Genomic DNA, 23,509 nt, shown 5'->3' on the forward strand with positions numbered 1-23,509 from the left:
TGAATAAATGCCCAGTAGTGGGATTGCTGTATCATATGGTAGTTCTATTTGTAGTTTTTTGAGGAACCTCCAACTCTTCTCCATAGTGGCTGTACTAGTTTACATTCCCACCAACAGTGAATAAGAGTTCCATTTTTCCACATCCTCACCAGCATTTGTTATTTTTTTGTGTTTCTGATAATAGCATCCTAACCAGAGTGAGATGATACTTCTTGATGGTTTTGATTTGTGTTTCCCTGATGATTAGTAATATTGAGCATTATTTTATATATTTGTTGACCATCCATTTGTATGTCTTCTTTTGAGAAATATCTGTTCAGATCATTTGCCCTTTTATTTATTTATTTTATTTATTTTTATTTTTTTTGAGACAGGCTTGCTCTGTCACCCAGGCTGGAGTACAGTGGCACGATCACAGCTCACTACAACCTCTGCCTCCCAGGTTGAAGCCATTCTCCTGCCTCAGCCTCCCGAGTAGCTGAGATTACACCCATGTGCCACCACCACACCCGGATAATTTTTTATATTTTTAGTAGAGAGGGGGTTTCACCATGTTGGCCAGGCTGGTCTCCAACTCCTGACCTCAAGTGATCCACCCTCCTGACCTCAAATGATCTGCCTGCCTTGGCCTCCCAAAGTGCTGGGATTACAGGTGTGAGCCACCATGCCTGGCCCATTTGCCCATTTTTTAAATTGAATTATTTGCTTTTTTGCTATTGAAGTGTTTGAATTCCTTGTATGTTCTAGATAATAATCCCTTGTTGGATGAATAGTTTACAAATATTTTCTCTCATTCTGTTGATTGTCTTTTCACTCTATTGATTATTTCCTTTGCTGTGTAGAAGCTTTTTAGTTTGATATAATCCCATTTGTTTATTGTTACTTTTGTTGCCTATGCTTTTGAAGTCTTATAAAATCTTTTCCCAGACCCATGTCCTGAAGCATTTCCCCATGTTTTCTTCTAGTAGTTTTATAGGGTTGGGTCTTACATTTAGGTCTTTGATCCACTTTGAGTTGATTTTTGTATAGGATGAAAGTCAGGAATCTAGTTTCATGCTTTTGCATATGAATATCCAGTTTTGCCTCAACCATTTATTGAAGAGACTATCAATAAGGGTTCTTGGCACCTTTGTCAAAAAACAGTTGGTTATAGATACATGGATTAATTTCTGGGTTCTCTATTGTTCCAGTGTTCTATGTGTTTGTTTTTATGCCAGCGCCATGCTGTTTTGCTTACTACAGCTTTGTAGGATATTTTAAAGTCTGGTAGTGTGATGCCTCCAGCTTTCTTTTTGCTCAAGATTGCTTTGACTATTTAGGGTCTTTTGTGGTTCCATATACATTTTAAGATTTTTTTTCTATTTCTATGAAGAATGTCGTTGGTATTTTGATAGGAATTGCATTAAATCTATAAATTTCTTTGTGTAGTAAGATTTTGTTCTGAATGCTAAAACTGTAGGTATAAATAGGATGGCACTGCTGGCCCAGAGGAAGGCCTGATTAGCCAGGGTGCCCCCTAATAGCTCTGACTTCACTAGTACCCAACCTTCTCTCAGTACTTTGAGGGATTAAGACAAAAATATCACATCATAAGTCTGATGCTGAAACAAGTTTGTTCCTTTAATGAGATAGTTTTTGACAAATTGGATCCAACATCTCCTGTTAAAATGGAAATACATATTTAGAGTCGTGGTAGGGCAGGTAGACAAGTAACAAGCCTGAGTGGCCATCACCACATTGGTATGAATTAATTTAGGAACAAAGAAAAACTTCCTGGGAGGATATGATCTATAATGGGATGGTTGGGGGGGGGGGTTGTTAGTGGTGGTGGTAATGGGTTATTTTAGTTTTGAATGTGTGTGTTGCAGGGAAGGAAAAAGGTTGGTGGAGAGTTCAGAGCCAAAGCCATGCTGAATGACAGGTGGAAGACAGTCTGATGGATCATAGTCACTGTTCTTAAAGAATACATAATTCAGGCTTGCATGAGACAAGATGAACCACTGACATCCTAATTTCTCAAAGTAGTCATTGGAAATGGAAAGAAGAGCCAGGATTTATTGGAGGGTATATTCACACAGAAGGGGTTCATGAAGGTGAGGGACCCTTTCACCTCCCCACTGGGCAGAAAGCACTTGCCAGAAGAAAGGGTTGCAAAAGAAGGTTGAACTCAGCAAGAAAAGTGCCTTGGGTCAGTCTCTGTACTGCTAAATAGGGCCTACCACCCTACCCTGCCAATCCCTACATAGGCCCTGTCTTCAGTAAACACTAGAGTTCGCTTACCTTCCATTCCAAGAACCAATCTGACATCTGCTGTATTAGTCTGTTTTCACACTGCTGATAAAGACATACCCGAGACTGGCTAATTTACAAAAGAAAGAGCTTTAATGGACTTACAGTTCCACATGGCTTGGGAAGCCTCACAATCATGGCGGAAGGCAAGGAGGAGCAAGTCACATCTTACATGGATGGCAGCAGGCACAGAGAGGGCTTGTGCAGGGAAACTCCTATTTTTAAAACCATCAGATCTCATGAGACTTATTCACTATCATGAGAACAGCATGGGAAAGACCTGCCCTCATGATTCAATTATCTCCCACCCAGTCCCTCCCACAACATGTGGGAATTCAAGATGAGATTTGGGTGGGAACACAGCCAAACCACATCATCTGCTGTGCCTCATCCCACAGATAGCAGAGCTTCCTCCTAATCTATCAAGAGTTCAGCATTTAGTGAGTGGTCAGGATCTCACCCTTCATTTAACCAACTAACCACCACCAACCAACCACCACCATCAGAGGTGGGCCTAAGGCAGGCCTTGGGGTCTCTGGGAAGTGGGCCATGCTCAGTCTACATCCCAATGTGCTATGGCTCCTGACACTCTGAGCAGGGGCTCTCCCTTGCACACACCAAAGGAATGACTGGGCTTAAAAAACGTGCCAACTTGCTTATAAATCAGTCTCCTCAGATTCTACAATTCACCGAGCCATAAAACCTCAGAGCTTCAAAGATGCTTAGAAAATATCAAGGCCAGGGTTCCCAGGAAGCCTCAATGCTGCCATTTTACAAAGGAAGAAACTGAAGTGCAGAGAGATTAAGGGGCTTGTCCAGGTCACACAGCTACTTAGTGGTAGATCTGTAACTAGAAAGGTTTCAGTTCACACTCAATGTTCTTTCCTCTAGAATCTAACCTCTGCCCCCTTGTTATTTTTGGCATGAGAGAGGAGGATTATATTTATGTCTCTAGAAAAGCTGTGCTTTTGGATTGAATTCTGATTTTCTCTTCTCAAGTCTCATTGAGAACCACATGAAAAAACTCTGCTGGATTTGAGTTAAAAAAAAAAAAAAAAGAATCTGAAGAAAAAAATAGCAAATCTGGTATCCTAATGAGATAATGAATGCACAAGTACTTTGAAAGAGGTACAGCACTTCAGTGCTTTTCAGATATGAGGTTTTGTCATGCTCTTGAAAGAAATGCATAGGCTTTACTGACATGGGGGCTGGGGCTGGGGCTGGGGCCCTGGCAGAAATGGGGAAGCACAGGCTGTGGCAAGGGGGGTTTCTCCAGAAGGCTGACTCATTTCTTGGCTGTCCCAAGCTTAGAGAGCCAGATTTCTTAGGGTTGTTTACCACCTTAGTAAGGAACTGGTGGAGGGTTTTTTTCTGGAGTTAAGCACTGCAGGAAGAGCTGCCCACAGTATGGGGGTGGGTCATCTGCTTCTGGACTGCCCAGGCCAACTGTGGTTACCCCAGTTAACTGTGGTGAACTGTCCACATAACCAGCCTTCTGGATCTGCCTTTCAAGGAGTCCCACTGTGCTTCTCCCTGCTGAGGCCGCTGAAAGGGCATAGGCAATTGCTAGAGGTGAAGAAAAACTCTGTAGCTAAGCTATAAAAACAGGCATCCTGAATCTGGCTACATCCTGGTAATCTTGCACATAGGATGAATCCTAAGAAAAGGTGAGTCTTGTTAATGTGCACAGCACACAAGCCAGCGGGATGGCGTGCCAGTCAGCAGATTTTCAGTTTCAAGATAACTGAAAATCCATTTTTATCTGACTTAGACAAAATGAAACAAAACACCAAACCAACAAACAACAACCACACAATTTCACTGATTCGCATAACTGAAAAGTCTAAGGTTAGGGCTTGTTTCAGGCACCACTGATCTTGTGGCTCAAACTATGTCACTGGGACTTGGTTTAACCCTGTCTCAGCTCTACCTTTCCTCAGTGTTACCTTCTCTCTCAGGAGCCCTGGGGTAGCCCCCAGTGGCTGCAGGTCATCTGTAATCCCAGGGGGTCCCAGCAAAAGAGAGAGGGAATCCCTTTCAGTAATGGTCCTCCTCCCCAACTAAATTAGAGGCTTCATTCTGACTGGACCAAGTTAGAGCGCATAACCATCCCTGGGCTCTGATTGGCCAGAACAGAGTCCGGCGTTCCACCTGCCAGGTGGAAGGGTAGATCTCTCCCATGCTCACTGAGCCTGAGACAGGAGGTGGGGTGGCATCCCAAAGGAAATCTAGCATGCTGGTACCAGAACGGGGAATAGGTGCTGGGCTTGGAAAAATAACAGACAAACACTCAGTGCTACCCATTTAAGCATTTGAAATAATTTCACTTCAAAATCAGAGTGGTCGAGTCTCAGACACATGAGATTCTGTCTCAGATTTCTGGTGGCTTGAATGGAGGGTGTACAGAATCATGTCTTGATAAATGTTTAACTTCTAAGATTTGAAGTGCAGATATTGGTCTGGGTATCCCTCCTAGAAATCTTTGCATTTTCTGCATTTTCTTTTTAATATTTTATTTTTATTTTTATTTTTATTTTTTTGAGACAGTGTCTCAGTCACCCAGGCTGGAGTGCAGTAGTGCGATCTTGGCTCACTGCAACCTCCGCCTCCCGGATTCAAGCGATTCTTGTGCTTCAGCATTCGGAGTAGCTGGGACTACAGGTGTGAGCCACCACGGCTGGCTAGTTTTTGTATTTTTAGTAGAGACAGGGTTTTGCCATGTTGCCCAGGCTGGTCTCGAACTCCTGGCCTCAAGTGATCCTCCTGCCTCAGTCTCCCAAAGTGCTGGGATTACAGGCGTGAGCCACTCACTGCACCTAGCCTATATTTGAATTTTAAATAGTGATTCCACACCTTAACCTAACCATAATGGGAATTGGATTAGAGAATGGTGGGAATTTCAGACAAGTTGGTGAGGGTGAGAAGTAAGGGAAGAGAAACGTTATGGAACCTCTCACATAAAAAGTGCACAGTGGCCTACCCCTATATGGATGTGAGACTGCTCCTGATAGGAAATATCCCCAAACCCCTTGTTTGCAGTCCACGGCCCCAGTCTCAACTCCACCAAATCATGATGCTTCCCCTGAGATCATGATTGCGTTGCCCAGTTTCCTCTCTGACCAGACCTGATTCTACAGACAAAAGCCAACCTCCTCACTTCGATTCCCCTGGATCCTTTCCTCCTCTTCACATCTACAGCCGCTCTTCTAACTTCTTACTCCCGTTGCAATTCCAGATATTCCAGAGACAGGATATCTCCAAGGCACTCCAGGGCCCCAAATAACAAACCTTATTTGTTTTCCACCTCACACAATCTGAACTCTTCTGCCTGCCCTTTGAAACCCTTCGCGAACACCTCCAACCTTATTTCTTGCTCCTCCTCAATACAGCCTGTTCTGGTTGGCACAGCCTCACCTCTTACCTTTGCCACGATGCTACTCCTGCTGCGTCACTCAGTTCTGCATGGTGAGTCTCCTCCATCCACTGTGATCTGGAACCACGTCATTGTCAGTGGAGGTTGAATACAACTGGAATTTTTTATGGGATTCTAACAGACCTGTCCCTGATAATGGCGTGCCCCTAATTTCCGTTCTTTACTGACTACTCATTGGCTGTATCACTCTAGTTGCACAAATGATCTCTATCTCCCTCTATGCATGCCTACTAGGTCCAGGGAAGTAATATAGTGTTTGTAACTAGGAGTGGTAAAGATGATGGCTAATTGGAGAGAGTAAGCTCAAGCTAAAAGCATTCAAATTCAATTTTTTTTTTTTTTTTGAGACAAGGTCTAGCTCTCTTGCCCAGGCTGGAGTACAGTGGCATGATCACAGCTCGCTGCAGCTTCAAACTCCTGGACTCAAATGATCCTCCCACCTCAGCCTCCGGAGTAGCTGGGACTGCAGGTGCTCACCACTATGCCCAGCTAATTTTTTTTAAAAAAAAAATTGTGGAGACAGAGGTCTTTCTATGTTGTTCAGGCTGGTCTTGAACTCCTGGGCTCAAGTGATTCTCCCATCTTGGCCTCCCAAAATGCTGGGATTACAGACATGAGCCACCGTGCCCAGCTCAAATTCAAAAATTTTAAGACATTATGGGACAAAGAAAATTCACCTGTCCATCCAAATAATGTAATGTGCAATAAATCTGCAACCACTGCTTAAGCTTGTCTTGAAGTTTTTCTGTTTTGCAGGACTCTTCCTGAGCAGTACATTTTCTTCTCTTCTAACAGAGTTAGAATTTATTGCTTACAACTCTTTCAGAAAATGGCAGTAATTAGAAATGGAGTCTGAGGAGGGGGATTTGCTCAAAATACGAGTATCGTTTCTTTACCATTTTTCTTTAGCAATGTATTCTGTAATCATAAATGAGCTACATGAAGATCTGAGCACAGCCTGGAAATATTGCATGTTTAATATCAGCCTCCTTTCCCTTCTTCAGAATTAAACTCTGGATCCTTCCTAGACTTGGCCAGTTCCAAGTCACGACTTCGTCAGATACACTCTTGCTGTAAGAAGCAGTAAAGTTCAGTGGTTATGATCACAGACCTAGAGCTGGTCTATCTGGGTTTAAAGCCAGACTCTATAGCTTTCTGGATGTGGCTGTCTGTTTAACCTTGGGCAAGCTAGGTGACCTCTGTTTGCCTCAGTTTCCTCATTTGTGAAGTGCGGATAATAATAGTACCTACCTCATGTCATCGTTTTAAGGATTAAATGAATTAACACATTTAAAATATAAGAAGTTTGAAAAGCTCTTGGACTCCGGCTGCAGCGTCAGCCTCCCTCGGGCCTCGGCAGCGGCGGCGGCTCGCTCGCCTCAGCCCCAGCGCCCCTCGGCTACCCTCGGACCAGGCCCGCAGCGCCGCCCGCCCTCGGCCGCCCCGACGCCGGCCTGGGCCGCGGTCGCAGCCCCGGGCTCGCGTAGGCGCCGAACGCTCCCGGCCCGCCCACTACGGGCCCAGGCTAGAGGCGCCGCCGCCACCGGCCCGCGGAGCCCGGATGCTGGCCCGGAGGAAGCCGATGCTGCCGGCGCTCACCATCAACCCTACCATCGCCGAGGGCCCGTCCCCAACCAGCGAGGGCGCCTCCGAGGCAAACCTGGTGGACCTGCAGAAGAAGCTGGAGGAGCTGGAACTTGACGAGCAGCAGAAGCGGCTGGAAGCCTTTCTCACCCAGAAAGCCAAGGTCGGCGAACTCAAAGACGATGACTTCGAAAGGACCTCAGAGCTGGACGCGGGCAACGGCGGGGTGGTCACCAAAGTCCAGCACAGACCCTCGGGCCTCATCATGGCCAGGAAGCTGATCCACCTTGAGATCAAGCCGGCCATCCGGAACCAGATCATCCGCGAGCACCAGGTCCTGCACGAGTGCAACTCACCGTACATCGTGGGCTTCTACGGGGCCTTCTACTGTGACAGGGAGATCAGCATCTGCATGGAGCACATGGATGGCGGCTCCCTGGACCAGGGGCTGAAAGAGGCCAAGAGGATTCCCGAGGACATCCTGGGGAAAGTCAGCATTGCGGTTCTCCGGGGCTTGGCGTACCTCCGAGAGAAGCACCAGATCATGCACCGAAATGTGAAGCCCTCCAACATCCTCGTGAACTCTAGAGGGGAGATCAAGCTGTGTGACTTCGGGGTGAGCGGCCAGCTCATCGACTCCATGGCCAACTCCTTCGTGGGCACGCGCTCCTACATGGCTCCGGAGCGGTTGCAGGGCACACATTACTCGGTGCAGTCGGTCATCTGGAGCATGGACCTGTCCCTGGTGGAGCTGGCCATCGAAAGGTACCCCATCCCCCCGCCCGACGCCAAGGAGCTGGAGGCCATCTTTGGCCAGCCCGTGGTCGACAGGGAAGAAGGAGAGCCTCACAGCATCTCCTCTTGGCCAGGGTCCCCCGGGCGCCCCAACAGCGGTTACGGGATGGACAGCCTGCCCGCCATGGCCATCTTCGAACTGCTGGACTATATTGTGAAAGAGCCGCCTCCTAAGCTGCCCAACGGTGTGTTCACCCCCGACTTCCAGGAGTTTGTCAATAAATGCCTCATCAAAAACCCAACGGAGCGGGCGGACCTAAAGATGCTCACAAACCACGCCTTCATCAAGCGGTCCGAGGTGAAAGAAGCGGATTTTGCCTGCTAGTTGTGTAAAACCCTGGGGCTGAACCAGCCCGGCACACCCACGCGCACCGCCGTGTAACAGTGGCCAGGCTCCCCGCGTCCCGCTGGTGACCTGCCCACCGTCCCTGTCCACGCCCCGCCCTTCCAGCTGAGGACAGGCTGGCGCCTCCACCCACCCTCCTGCCTCACCCCTGCGGAGAGCACCGTGGCGGGGCGACAACTGCGCACGCAGGAACGGGGGTCTCCTCTCCTGCTGGTCCCTGCCGGCGTGCCTCTAGGGACGGGCGACGCTGCTGTGTGTGGTCTCAGAGCCTCTGCTTCCTTAGGTTACAAAACAAAACAGGGAGAGAAAAACCAAAAAAAAAAAAAGAAGTTTGAAAAGTTGGGAAACACTGGGTAAACTTATTTTTAAACAGTGTATTAGTCAGCTTTTCAAATAATATGGTCAGTATCTTTTTCTTCAACCCTTGGACAACCCCCTATTTAAGACAATGAGTCCAGGCCAGGCACGGTGGCTCACACCTGTAATCCCAGCACTTTGGGAGGCCAAGGAAGGCCAACTGCTTGAGCCCAGGAGTTGGAGACCACCCCAGGCAACATAGCAAAATCTTGTCTCTACCAAAAAGATAAAAATACAAACAATTAGCCAGGTATGGCAGCCCACACCTGTGGTCCCAGCTACTTGGGAGGCTGAGCAGGGAGAATCACATGAGCCCTGGAAGCTGAGGCTGCAGTGAGCAGTGATCATGCCACTGCACTCCAACCTGGGTGACAGAGCAAAACCCTGTCTTAAAAATAAAATAAAATAAAATAAAGCAATGAATCCGATTTTAATCTTTAAAAAGTATAATAAATACACTAAAAAGTGTCCAAAAATTCTGGAAATATAGGAAAAATATATATATTTAATCTGAAGTAAGCTTTTTTTCACATTAACAAATGGATTAATTACTTCAAATTTAGAGATATTTCACCTGAAAAGATGTCCTGGGGTTAAAAAAGTTGAACATATTGGCTGGGTGCGGTGGCTGACACCTATAATCCCAGCACTTTGGGAGGCCGAGCGGGAGTGGATCACTTGAGGTCAGGAGTTCAAGACCAGCCTGGCCAATATGGTGAAACCCCGTCTCTACTAAAAATGCAAAAATTAGCCGGACTTGGTGGTGCATGCCTGTAATCCCAGCTACTTGGGAGGCTGAGGCGGGAGAATTGCCTGAAACCTGGAGACAGAGGTTGCAGTGAGCTGCGATCTCGCCATTGCACTCCAGCCTGGGTGACAAGAGCGAAACTCCATCTCAAAAAAAAATTTTTTTCAATTGAACATACTATTTGAAAAGTTAAATGACATGCAATTTAAAAGTCTGTTTATCCTTTTTCCCAACTTTTCAGATACCATGTGCTTAGCACGGTGACTGGCACTTAGTAAGCATTGTTGCAAATGTCATTTTCCTATGACTCATTGTCCCTTCACTTTATGAGGAGGGTCCCCTCCTCTGCCTGGACCATTGTCCAGTCTAACGTATCCCACTTTGGAAACTCTTAAAGTAGCATGTCTCCAAAGAGCTGCGTCGGCTAACACTATTCCTCACTGTCATGGGAGGTGAAGTGATATGTATAGAAATAATGTTTGTCTCAGCTCAGGCTACTGTAGGGTCTCACTGTTGCCCAAGCTGGAGTGCAGCAGAACTATCATAGCTCACTGCAGCCTCGAATCCTGGGCTCAAGTGATTCCCCCACCTCAGCCTCCTGAGTAACCAGGACTATAGGCACGTGCCACCACACCCAAGTAATTTTTTATTTTACTTTTTGCTGAGACAGGGTCTTGCCATGTTACCCAGGCTGGTCTCAAATTCCTGGCCTCAAATGATCCTCCTGTCTCAGCCTCCCAAATTGCTGGGATTACAGGCATGAGCCATTGCACTGGCCTCTTCTTATAAAGACACTAATTCTATCATAAGGGCCCTATCCTCATGACCTCATCTAAACCCAATTTTCTCCCAAAGGCCCATCTCCAAATACCATCACACTGGGGTTACGTATTTGGTGGGAGGAGCAATTAATCTCATAGTAATATTATATACCTGCCCAAAAAGGTAGGGGAGCAACTTAAAGTGATACTGGAAACCAAAGATCTTATATGATAAATAGCCAGGAAACTTAATGGTACTAGATGCATAAAGACACCAAATGAATGCTTACCACTTATTTTCCCCAATAATTTCTGTATTGTTTTTTGTTTTTTGTGTTGTTGTTGTTGTTGTTGTTGTTGAGACGGAGTCTCACTCTGTCATCCAGGCTGGAGTGCAATGGTGCGATCTGGGCTCACTGCAACCTCCGCCTCCCAGGTTCAAGTGATTCTCCTGCCTCAGCCGCCCAAGTAGCTGGGATTACAGGTGCCTGGCACCATGCCCAGCTAATTTTTGTATTTTTAGTAGAGACAGGGTTTCACCAGTTTGGCCAGGCTGGTCTCAAACTCCTGAACTCAGGTGATCCACCTGCTTCAGCCTCCCAAAGTGCTGGGATTACAGGCATGGGCCACTGCGCCTGGCCTGTATTTGTTGTTTGAGTAGCTGGTCATTCACATGGTTTACAGTCAAAAGAGGCAAAAGGATATGCAGTGAAAACTCTCTCTCCTATCCCTGCTTTCCAGCCACCAGTTTCCTTCCCCAGAGGCTGTGGCTGGGGCCTTTGTCTCCTTCCAGAGATAGCCTGTGTACATCCAGGTCCCTTGGAGACATGGGTTTCAGAATGAAGAACGTTTCAGGTTTAGGCAGTAATAAGGTGCATATAGCATGTATTCCGCAACACCCCAGGCTCTGTCTAGGATGGCCAGTCATCCCAGTTTATCCCAGACTGCCCCAGCTTTAGCACTATCAGACAAACCAGGCTGATTTGACCACTTTTTAGTTTAACCAAGTTTTTGTGAATGACTTATCTTTGCTGCTTCTTAATATCTATTCAAGATTGTTTTAAGATCACTTTATTCTTCCTTTTCCTTTGGTTTTCAGGCTTGCCTTCTCTCAAACCATCAGGCAAAACATACCCTGATGAACACATCAAATTCAGCATCAAAGTGGACGCTTACAACTTTAATGCTCACTACGAATTAACCTCAAAATAGCTACGTAAATAAAATTAGCAGGATTATCAGAGAATTGTTCAAATAGCAATCACAGAATTCTTTCCCTGTTCTTTAAAAACTCCAGAGATTGGCTGGGCCCAGTGGCTCATGCCTGTAATCCCAGCACTTTGGGTGGCTGAGGCCGGCAGATCACCTGAGGTCAGGAGTTCAAGACCAGCCTGGCCAACATGGTGAAACCCCCATTTCTATTAAACATACAAAAATTAGCCAAGTGTCGTGGCGGGCACCTGTAATCCCAGCTACTCAGGAGGCTGAGACAAAAGAATCGCTTGAACTCAGGAGGTGGAGGCTGCAGTGAGCTGAGATCGCGCCATGCACTCCAGCCTGGGTGACAAGAGCAAGACTGTCTCAAAAAATATAAATAAATAAAATAAAAAATAAAAACTTCAGACATTGTTCGTGATGTTGTTTAGGTCTCTGGAAACATTAAATGTCAGGCTTATTTTTTGTGAAAAATACGTGTTTGTATATGTGTATGCATGTGCCCAGAGAAAACTCTGGAAGGCAGTGGCAGTGATTTTCATTTTCTTCCTTTTTTATTGTTTATATATTTTTATGATGAATATGTCCTAATTGTACAATAGTTTGAAGTAATTTTTTTTCTATTTAAAAAGGTGTTGGTATGTTGTTTCTGGAATTATCATGATTCTTTTCAAATTTACATTCTGGACATTATTGGTAAAGCAGAAGTCACTTGTGTTTTGAATCCAAACAATGTAGCTAGGCTTGTGGCTAGATCGCATGCTCCTTAGGTCAGGGCTAAGGCTGTGTTGTTCAATTTCAGTGTATGTGCTGCCAAAGCGAGCACAGGCTGCCTCATTCACGTTTGTACCCCGGCCCTTGGTACAATGCCTGACATGAAATGGGTGCTCACAGCTTGTTTGCTGTGCTGTGTTTGAACACTCCTGTAAGCATAACTTCATTCTGGATGCAAGGATCCAAATTCTTTTCACAGATTAAATCTATTATCACAGGTTTTTATCCACGGTGAGTATCCACACACAGTACCACCGAGAATAGTATCCTATTACAAATACATCACCTTGAAAAGGTGAGTCACAATTCTCCTATAATCAAGGTGACATAAAATCCAAGACTAATCTTAGTCAAAATTGCCAGAGGTAATTTCTACCCCCTGCAAGTACTATCACAAATACATGAATTTAATAATAGAGGTAATGTAGTCTATGAAACCCAATTATATCCGACCTCTTTCAACAAGAGACAAATTTCATCTTTATTTTTTGTTGTTTGTTTTTAGACAGAGTCTAGCTCTGTCTCCAGGCTGGAGTGCAGTGGCATGATCTCTGCTCACTGTAACCTCTGCCTCCCAGATTCAAGCAATTCTCCTGCCTCAGCCTCCCAAGTAGCTGGAATTACAGGCCCCCGCCGTCACGCCCAGTTAATTTTTGTATTTTTAGTAGAGATGGGGTTTCACCATGATGAAGATCATGATGGTCTTGATCTCCTGACCTCGTGATCTGCCCACCTCAGCCTCCCAAAGTGCTGGGATTACAGGCATGAGCCACTGCGCCCAGCCAATTTCATCTATTTTTATTTAACAAAATCATATCTGTAATGAACTGATCATACTTGAAATGCAAAATTCAATTATACTTCAATATTTTTTATTTCTTTTTCCTGTGTCATTCCATTAGGAGTTTGTGACGGACTCCCCTTGCCTGAAGAACCCTTAATGGTCTTCCCCAGAGGTAGACACTTTGCAAGGGGCTGCAGGTCCCCTTAGGACTGATATCTACTACTTTCATTGCTCCTAGACCTATGTGATTTAGCTTATAGCAGGTCCCTCAGAATGAGGTACAAAGTGTAACCTGTGAAGAGACAAAACACATGTTGAAGAATTACATTGTTTTACCAATTTATGTCAACCAATTCCCGGACTGAAAACAGTTTACAGATGCAGAACCTCTCGCATATACCAATTTATATCAACCAATTTATATCATTCTGGAGAATATGTGTGGGATTGGGTCCTCAGAGTATGGGATCAGGGTGAAAGAAATATAAAGTGGGGCCAGGCTAAATGGATTGCTATGAGCTCACTAAGCAGAGATTCTGGACTTCATATTGTTAGCTCAAGTTGTTAGAAATGGTTCTGATAGTTTGTTTGGTTAGTTAACTTGAAGTCTGGACCCAAAGGTGGCTTAGGCTGAATAAAGTTTCCTTGGTATACTATGGAGCAGAATTTCTCAATCTTGGCATTATTAACTACGAAAGAATCAAAATGGAGCCACTTATGTTAAAAACCCTGGCAAATAGAGTGGCAAAGTCCATGAAGGAAGGGTTCTCATGCATGAATCCCTGATAATAAGAACTATTACAAAAAACTCTACAAAACCACAACCTTGCACAAAGGCCATCTCAACTTTACACAGAAAAATACTTCTGCAAGGATGTACATCTGCACAGCAACTGACCATCCAGCCTCCCTTGTTATTGATCCATGTAGCTGAGAATAATTATCTCAAAACAATTATGTAATCCTTCTCACTTTTCCTTTAAAAACCTTTATCTTCCTTTACCTCCCTGAATATGCCTCAGTTACTATGGCACGTGTATTCTTATTGCAATGCCTCTTCCCCAATAAAATGATTTTCTTTTGGAGAGTCTCCCTTTCTGTTTGCTATTTAGGTTGACATAACGTAAGACTTTGTGGTGGGGTGCTGTCCTGTGCACCGTAGAATGTTTAGCAGCAGTGCTGAGACTAGGGTGAGTTGAGTGAGACAGCTAGCTTTGGGCCCTGGGTACCTCACTCACCTAATCCTTGTCCTGGCTTCATTTAGCAGTAGCCGTGGCTCCTAGACACTAGGTACCAGTAGCACCCACTAGCTGTGACAACCAAAGATGTTTCCAGACATTGCCAAATGTCTCTAGGAGGCAAAATCACCTTTAGTAGGGAACCACTGCTATAGAGGAAAGTTTCCAAAGTTTTCATAATTACTCGTTTCTATCATGTGTAATATGTGTTATGAAAACTCGCAGTGCAAGGAAAATGCCTGGAATTCTGCCTAGATGTAAATTTATAAGAATGTAATAATGATGACTAGTAAATACATAATTCAAAAATATCATCACTTTGGAAATGATATGCCATGGATTTACTTCAAAATAGTCCTGTGGTGGGGGCAGTAAGTGCGAGTGGTGATGAAATAAGAATGGCTACAAGTCGATGACTATTGTAGCTGGGGGTTGGGTTCATGGGCCTTTGTTGTACTATTATTATCTTTACCTCATATATATTTGATTCCATGACATAAACTGTTTTGTTTGTTTTTGAGATGGAGTCTCGCTGTGTCACCCAGGCTAGAGTGCAGTGGCGCCATCTCAGCTCACTACAACCTCCACCTCCCGGGTTCAGGCGATTCTCCTGCCTCAGCCTCCCGATTAGCTGGGATTGCAGGCATGCACCACCACGCCTGACTAATTTTTGTATTTTTAGTAGAGACGGAGTTTTGTCATGTTGGCCAGGCTGGTCTTGAACTCCTGACCTCAGGTGATCCACCCACCTCAGCCTCCCCAAGTGCTGGGATTACAGGTGTAAGCCACCGTGCCTGGCCTATAAAGTTTTTTAAAAATCATCTTTTCCTACTTAAGCCCATTCTTTTGTTTAAATTACTTGTTTCAGTTGTTTCACGTTGACTCTGCCTATTATTTCAAGTTCCTCTGATCTTTTATTTTGCTGCCTTATTTAGCATAACTTTTGCTATATGACATACTTAAACAGGTATAACCATGCTGACAAGAACAGACATGCTTAATCTTATCCTCAGGCATGGTTGGGTGCCAGTCTCCGTGGGTAGCCTCATCTGCCACTCCTTTCATAGGCCTTACGCATGGACCACTGGCTGCCTCCTGTTGACCATACGTTTGCACCCCTCTGGATCACCATGCACTTTCCTGTCTTCTCTGTTCAGCAAAATCCTCCTCCTTCCTCTAGCTCAGCTCAAATGCCACTGCTCTCTCCTCTTCAGCACTTCGCTTCCCTTTCATTCCGGCCCACTTCCCTTCTAGCCATGTCAAGTTCTCTTTTCCTCCTGCTCCAAAAGAGCTTTGCTCATATTTTCCTTGTACTATTTATTGCATCCTATAGTTTGCCATTGTAATAATAAGAATTATTTGGTTGAAAGAAAGAGAAACTAACTTACACTAGATTAACAGGAAGTCTATTAAAAGAATAACAAGGAAACTCTTCAGACTAAACTGCATGTGGCCAGCTGGGCCTGAGGGATTAATCCAGGAATTAAACACTCTTCTCTCCAAGTCTCTCTCCTCTGTGCTCTTCCCTGGGTGACTGGTTCATTCTCCTGCAGCAAATCAACTATTTCACTCTTTAGTCCCCATGGCAAAAAAACATGGGTGTCCCTCTGCTACCAAGTGTATCTGTTAGAGGTTTAGCCACACAAAGAGTGAGTGAGTATCTCTGTGTTTTGAGAGGGAAGGAATTCATTGGCCCAGTTTAGATCAGGACTTATCTTCAGGGAGTGGATGGTGGGTGGGCAGGATCACATGGTACAAAATAGCCACCACATCTATGGATGGGGATGGAGCAGTTATGGGTACATAGGGATATGGTAGACCATCCAAAACTTCCATTACAGTTATACACATGTCTAACTCCCCAGTTAGATCGTGAGCTTCTCAAGGGTACTGACAGTGGCTCCTTCATCGTTGTGTGCTTTTGCCAAGAAATACATATTTATTAAATGAATTTATAACCAATTCTGTGGACCTTAACTTACACATTAGGCTCACACAAGCATCTGAAATAATGCATACAGATATTCTGATAGACATTTTAACATATAATAAACACTTTGTGGGCCGGGTGTGGTGGCTCACACCTGTAATCCCAGCACTTTGGGAGGCCGAGGCAAGTGGATTGCCTGAGGTCAGGAGTTCGAGACCAGCCTGGCTAATGTGGTGAAACTCCGTCTCTACTAAAAATACAAAAATTAGTCAGGCGTGATGTCGCACGCCTGTAGTCCCAGCTACTAGGGAGGCTGAGGCAGGAGAATCACTTGAACCCGGGAGGCAGAGGTTGCAGTGAGCCCAGATCGTTCCACTGCACTCCAGCCTGGGCAACAGAGAGAGACTCCATCTCAAAAAAATAAATAAAATAAAATAAACAATTTGGGGCAGACATTCTAGTTTCCTACTCATATCATTTCTGCCCTTCTTTCTTAATAGAACCCCACTTTTTTTTCCTTCAGGGGAGTAGTACCTTCAGTTAGCAATATTTACTCAGAGGTGATGATGTGGCCCAGTTCTAGCCAATGAGATATTAGCACAAGTTACTGGTAAAGCATCTGTGAATATTTTGTAAAAGGGACAAATGTGTCTGGCGTGTAACTTTTGCTTCTCTCTTTCCTTGCCTGGAATGTGAGTGTGATGTTTGGATGTGCAGCAGCTACCTTGTGACCATGAGAATGAAGTTTGCTCCCTAAGATGGGGTAGCAGAAAAATAGAAGGAGCCTGGCTCCTGGCTCCTTGAGGACTTTAGTAAGTCTTTGAGTGCAAAGGATCAGCCCTGAACAGTCTGTCCCCAGACTTCTTGTTGCCTGAGACAAAAAGCAAATAAAAACAAAACAAAACTTGTTTAAGCCATGGTTGGTTGTTTTTCTGTTACTTGCAGCTGAACATAGTCCTAACAAGCTTTTTTTAAAAAAGAAAAAAAAAAAAAAAGATTGGCCAGGTGCAGTGGCTCACACCTGTAATCCCAGCACTTTGGGAGCCTTAGAGGGTGCCGATTGCTTGAGCCCAGGAGTTCAAGACCAGCCTGGGCAACATGGCAAAACTCCATCTCTACCCCCCCACCCCCCCAAAAAAATATATATATATAATATATATTTTTATATTATATATGTGTTATATATATGGTATATTTATATATGTGTGTGTATATATATGTGTGTGTATATATACATATATATATATTCAGCTGGGCATGGTGGTATGTGCCTGTAGTCCCAGCTACTTAGGAGGCTGAGGCAGGAGGATTGCTTGAGCCTGGAAGGAAGAGGTTGTAGTGAGTCAAGATTGTGCCACTGCACTCCAGGCAGGGCGACAGAGTGAGACCTGTCTCAAAAAAGCAAAATAAAGCAAAACAAAAAAAAATTTAAACTAGAACTTATTTTTTAATTGTGCAAGCCCTATGCTTACCTAAGGAAAGATACTAGATCCTTTAGAGATGTTTTTCAAAAGTATTGTCCATAGATGATCCACATCAGAATTACACAGGCTGCTTGTTAGAGAAGGTAAATTTTCAGTGTGCTTGTTTGCTCAACCTAACCTCTCAACCGAGAATCAGAATCACTGGGGCTAGGGCCTGGAAATCTGCTCTTTCAACAAACTCACCAAACAATCCCTGAGCTCAGAAAATCTTAAGAACCACCAATAAATAATTCAAACAAGTTTGAATCATTTACTGGACAGCAAGGTAAATGTAACTAGTTTTTTTTTTTCCTTTTTAGTTTAACACCAATCCCCACACCTACCAACTTAACTTGATTATCATCAAGAAGGGTCCAAACTCTTTTTGAAGAGGAAACAAACTGTCAAGCTTCAATAAGAGCACACAATTTCCTGTGAGGTTGAAGCAAATGTTCCGCTTTCTTTATTAAGTTTATTTTAACTAAACTTGCTAAGCTTCCTCTAAATGTGTCATGCTATCCCTACCCCCTTCCTTTTTTGAGCACTGCCAATCACAGTCCCATTTCACATATGCAATTGTGCTCAGTGTCGTATTCTAATTGTCTAATACATTTGAAGTAAACACAATCCAATATACTTCTGATTTAATATTCCCTTAGTTTAGGCTCTCCTGAGTTATTAATTCTTTTTAGACTCAGAATACTCTTATCTAATTTTGTCTTTCTTATTGAACTAAAAGTGATTCTTATATGAAAAAAAAATAAGTAGAAACAATTTTTAAAACCCCAAATCTTGAATTTGAATATGATCAGAGGTCATTTATTAAGTAACAACAGAGGCAAATGACCAATATTAGACCCCCTAAACTATCGTGACCCTATCTTTTGGAGTCTTATTTCTCAAAACACCACAAAGCTTTTTCTCCTCTGTAGTCATTATGCCACCCTGAACTCATTCCCAACCGCTCATCTTTGCTTAGGCTGTGTCCCCATCTGGGGAAACCAAGCCTCACCTCCTCTTCAATTACTGCAACCCATTCTGCTAGTTCTCTTCTCTAAATTCTTATTCTAGTCACCATCATTACCACCTAATTTTTTAAATCTTCCCAAAGGAGATTTTGACACGTCAGTCTCCAACTAAAAATCCTTCAACAGCACCATGTTTTCTTTTTTTTTTTTTTCTTTTCTTTTAAAATAGAGTCTTGCTCTGTTGCCCAGGCTGGAGTGCAGTGGCGCGATCTCAGCTCACTGCAACCTCCACCTCCCGGGTACAAGCGATTCTCCTGCCTCAGCCTCCCAAGTAGCTGGGACTACAGGCACACCATCACACCTGGCTAGATTTGGATTTTTAGTAGAGACGGGGTTTCGCCATGTTGGTCTGGCTGGTCTTGAACTCCTGACCTCAGGTGATCCACCTACCTCAGCCTCCCAAAGTGCTAGGATTACAGGCGTGAGCCACCGCACCTAGCCGAGCACCATGTTTTCAACACTGAATACATCCTGTGTCCCATGCTCTGCTAGGTGCCAGGGGTACACATACTAATGCAACACGGGCAGAGTCCTACAGGCATTATGGACTGATGGGTTGTTATCACCGGGGCTCACTAGAAATCTCAAGTTGTCTACAGAGTGAACTGGAACTGGAAACAATCCTCAAGGCCCTCCATGATCTGTTTCTAATTTATTTTACTAATTGTATCCCACCTTATTCTCTCCCCTTTGATCCAAATACATGGGGCTACTTGCCACTAGCCAAACACACCTGCCCCCTTTCTGTCTCTCTGAATTTGCTCACTTTGATCTCTGCTCCTAAAGTGACCTCACTTCTCTACCCATGTCGATTCTGACATATCCTTGAGGACTCAGATTTCAAATGCCACCTTCTTCATGAAACATTATGTTGCTTATGAAGTTCTAATTACGTCAGGTTTCTCAAAAAGAACCCCACATAATACCAAGTGCAATGACTAGTTCTTGATTAAATCCTGGTTTGAACAAACCAGCTGTAAGATATTCTGGGGTCAATTGGGGAAATTTAAGTATGAACTGGGCACAAAATTATATTAGGAAATTATTGTTAAACTTATCAGGAATGATAACATTATCATAGTTATATAAAAAGTCATTATTTTTAGATATGAAAGTGAAATTAATGGGTTAAATGACATGATAGCTCAAAAATGGAAGAAGGAAACATGAGAAAATGGGAAAATTTGGTAATGGGAATACTGTAGATGTTTCTGGATTTCTACTTTTCTGTGCATTTGAAAACATTTCTAACCAAAAGAGAAAACAAGAACTACAAAAATTTTTCTTGCCAATAAAAATAAAACATATTCAAAAAAATAAAAATAAAACATATTCACTAAAGAAAATCTGGGGAAAAGGAAAAGTAACACAAATAGAGAGCAACAAATATCCTACCACGCAGAGATAATCATTATTTATATTATGATGCCTTTCCTTCTATACATTTATAAACCAATTATTTTCTTTATTTTTTATTGACACAAAAATTATATATATTTATGGTATACAACATTGTGTTTTAAAATATATAATTCTTTTTATTTTACAAAATTGTGATGGCTCTGGACATATAGTTTTGTACTGATCTCAGATTTTAAAAGGACATATATAAAAGATAGAAAGAAGCACATAAGGTCGGACTCAATGGCTTATGCCTATAATCCCAGCACTTTGGGAGGCTGAGGCGGGAGGATCACGAGGTCAGGAGATCGAGACCATCCTGGCTAACACGGTGAAACCCTGTCTCTACTAAAAATACAAAAACAAAATTAGCCGGGCATGGTGGCAGGTAACTGTAGTCCCGGCTACTCGGGAGGCTGAGACAGGAGAATGGTGTGAACCCAGGAGGCGGAGCTTGCAGTGAGCCGAGATGACGCCACTGCACTCCAGCCTGGGCGACAGAGCGAGACTCCCTCTCAAAAAAAAAAAAAAAAAAAAAAAAAGCACGTACATAAAAGAGAATGCTGCATTTTGTAGATATATTACATGTCAATGAAAAGTTAAAATACAAAAAAAAAAAAAAAAAGAAGGAAAACTTGCTAAACAGAGAGAATGGTGCAGACAAACCTTCCAATCCTTCCAGAGTTACATACCAGCAGTTAGTTCTCTAATAATCCTAGATCCCACAGATGGGCTTTTCGACGGTGCATTTCAAATGGTGCAGCCCAGAATCACTTACCTCTTTGCAGTTTCCAACATTTGTAGTTCTCACCGTGGGCTCTCCAGGCTACTACATGCTTTTTTCTTTTTTCCTTTTTTTTGAGACAGAGTCTTGCTCTGTCGCCCAGGCTTGAGCACAGTGGCCTGATCTCGGCTCACTGCAACCTCCGCCTCCCAGGTTCAAGCGATTCTCCTGCCTCAGCCTCCTGAGTAGCTGGGATTACAGGCGTGCACCACCACGCCCAGCTAATTTTTGTATGTTTAATAGAGACAGGGTTTCACCATGTTGGTCAGGTTGATCTCGACTCCTGACCTCGTGATCCACCCACCTCAACCTCCCAAAGTGCTGGGATTACAGGTTTGAGCCACCACGCCTGGTCTACATGCTTTTTGAAGGAAATCACCAGCCTGGCCAACTGGGATCCCCACAGTCATCAGCCACACGAGCTGAGCCATCACTGCTGCTGACCCGTCTTGCCTGGAGTCTCCTGCCTTGCTCTACCCAGAACTCCCCTTTCCTAAAGCTCCTCGTCTACACCGTGTCACTGCTTCTCTCTTCACATACCTTCTTGCCAATGTTAGCTCCAGCAACATGACCCTCTTTCTTTACAGAGATACCATTCAAATATTTTAATTATTTTCATAATCATATGTAATAATATTAAATATATTTTTAAGCTAAAAATTGCTACATGTCCCGTCACAACAACACAGCTGATTTTACTTTTATATTTTTTCATCTCTGTTGAAATTGGCCCATATTTCTTACTGTGAATATGTTTATATTGTTAAAATCTTACATACTATTACATAAGTTTTTTGGGTTCCATTTTTTGTTTGTTTGTTTTCTTTTGTTTTTTTTGTGTGTGTTTTTGGAGACAGAATTTCTGTCACCCTGGCTGGAGTGCAGTGGTGCAATCTTGGCTCACTGCAACCTCCACCTCCTGGGTTCAAGCAGTTCTTGTGCTTCGGCCTCCCAAGTAGTTGAGATTACAGGTGCACACCACCACGCCCAGCGAAGTTTTGTATTTTTAGTAGGGATAGAGTTTTGCCATGTTGGCCAGGCTGGTCTCAAACTCCTGGCCTCAAGTCAGCTGCCCACCTTGGCCTCCCAAAGTGCTGGGATTACAGGCATGAGCCACCACTTCTGCTTTGAATTCCATTTTAAATGGCCACATTATATATTCCACATAACTGAAATACCTTTTCCATTGAATTCCATTTTAAATGGCCACATTATGTATTCCAAAGAACTGAATACCTTTTCCAAGGACTTGAAATAAGTTGAAACTATTCACTGATTGTCAGATACTCTGTATACTTTATTCTACAACCTGATTTTTGCACCTCATATGTCATGGACCTTTTTGCAAGTCAGTACATATGTTTTCTATGTTATTTTAAATGGCTGCGTAGCATTCTATAGTAAAGATACATTTTTCCAATTTTTAAATTCTTTTTGATTTTTCAATTTGTGTAATTTTTTCATTTTGAATCATTAATACACTTTATGCTGCAAAGAAAAAAAAACAAAAAAAAAACAAAGAATAAAATGGCACACAGTGAAAAGTCTCTCTCCTCTCTTTTCAGTTCTCATCACCATCCCAGTATGTAACCTCCTTTCTTAATGTCTTACGTTTCCTTCCAGAGTTTATTTAGGCAGAGGGAAGCAAATATAAATGTTATTCCTTATTTTTGTTTTCTCTCTTTCTCTTTAACCAGAATGTGATATATTGTATCCACTGTCCCACTTGTTGCTTTTTTTTTTTTTTTTTTTTTGAGACGGAGTCTTGCTCTGCCGCCCAGGCTGGAGTGCAGTGGTGCGATCTCGGCTCACTGCAACCTTCGCCTCCCAGGTTCATGCCATTCTCCTTCCTCAGCCTCCCGAGTAGCTGGGACTACAGGTGCCCGCCACCACACCCGGCTAATTTTTTTGTATTTTTAGTAGAGACAGGGTTTCACCGTGTTAGCCAGGATGGTCTTGATCTCCTGACCTCGTGATCTGGCTGCCTCGGCCTCCCAAAGTGCTGGGATTACAGGCATGAGCCACCCCGGCCTCATTTTGCTTTTTAAACGTAATGAGTTAACTTGGAGATCGTTCCAACTCAGTACAGAGAGAGTTTCCTAATTCTTTGTTCTATAGCTGCATGGCTTCCTACTTTGTGATGCCGTCCGTGACTTCCACATGAGGGACATTGTGGTCATCACTTTGAAGGCTAATCCCATCTCTACCTGTTAATTCCAAAACCTCATTCCAGCCATTATCCACCTTAATCCCTCTTGACTGTTTTGTTTTGTTTTGTTTTGTTTTGTTTCCTACGAACATGTTAGGTCTCTTATATGCTAACAGAGAACTTTCCCTTCACTCTGAAGTCCCTTAAGGCTCCCATAACCTTCAAAGCCAGACAGAGATGTCCACAGTTTCGTTCACAGCTTCCATTTCACCACCCATTCCTTCCTTGACACTGTGATATTCCTTCTTCTTCCCGTCTCAATTAAAAATGATCTCTTGGCTGGGCACAGTGGCTCATGCCTGTAATCCCAGCACTTTGGGAGGCCCATGCAGGTGGATCACCTAAGGTCAGGAGTTCAGACCATCCTGGC

At 43.7% G+C, this 23,509-nt stretch overlaps 1 pseudogene across 2 annotated transcripts, besides 4 other annotated features; it reads left to right on the plus strand.

Moving 5' to 3' along the window:
- Positions 3,001-3,170: an enhancer, noted in NCBI's record as "active region_26621". NCBI's record gives its function as "activates an Ori minimal core promoter by ATAC-STARR-seq in GM12878 lymphoblastoid cells {active_cell/tissue: GM12878}" and the evidence as "EXISTENCE:reporter gene assay evidence [ECO:0000049][PMID:35858748]".
- Positions 3,621-3,890: an enhancer, noted in NCBI's record as "active region_26622". NCBI's record gives its function as "activates an Ori minimal core promoter by ATAC-STARR-seq in GM12878 lymphoblastoid cells {active_cell/tissue: GM12878}" and the evidence as "EXISTENCE:reporter gene assay evidence [ECO:0000049][PMID:35858748]".
- LOC407835 (mitogen-activated protein kinase kinase 2 pseudogene) lies at positions 7,037-11,559 on the plus strand (annotated as a pseudogene). 2 transcript variants are annotated; one of them, NR_172946.1, is made up of 2 exons: positions 7,037-8,399; positions 11,413-11,559. The product of NR_172946.1 is annotated as a mitogen-activated protein kinase kinase 2 pseudogene, transcript variant 2 (transcript). The 2 variants fall into 2 exon arrangements; NR_002144.1 differs by lacking the exon at positions 11,413-11,559 and having other exon boundaries at positions 7,037-8,773.
- Positions 8,046-8,546: an enhancer, noted in NCBI's record as "H3K4me1 hESC enhancer chr7:128767334-128767834 (GRCh37/hg19 assembly coordinates)". NCBI's record gives its function as "activates a minimal SCP1, AML or CMV promoter by ChIP-STARR-seq in naive H9 embryonic stem cells {active_cell/tissue: H9 hESC(naive)}" and the evidence as "EXISTENCE:reporter gene assay evidence [ECO:0000049][PMID:30033119]".
- Positions 17,994-18,043: an enhancer, noted in NCBI's record as "active region_26623". NCBI's record gives its function as "activates an Ori minimal core promoter by ATAC-STARR-seq in GM12878 lymphoblastoid cells {active_cell/tissue: GM12878}" and the evidence as "EXISTENCE:reporter gene assay evidence [ECO:0000049][PMID:35858748]".

The sequence above is a fragment of the Homo sapiens genome, chromosome 7 (genome assembly GCF_000001405.40).
Source record: "Homo sapiens chromosome 7, GRCh38.p14 Primary Assembly".
In the NCBI taxonomy this organism is placed as follows: domain Eukaryota; kingdom Metazoa; phylum Chordata; class Mammalia; order Primates; family Hominidae; genus Homo; species Homo sapiens.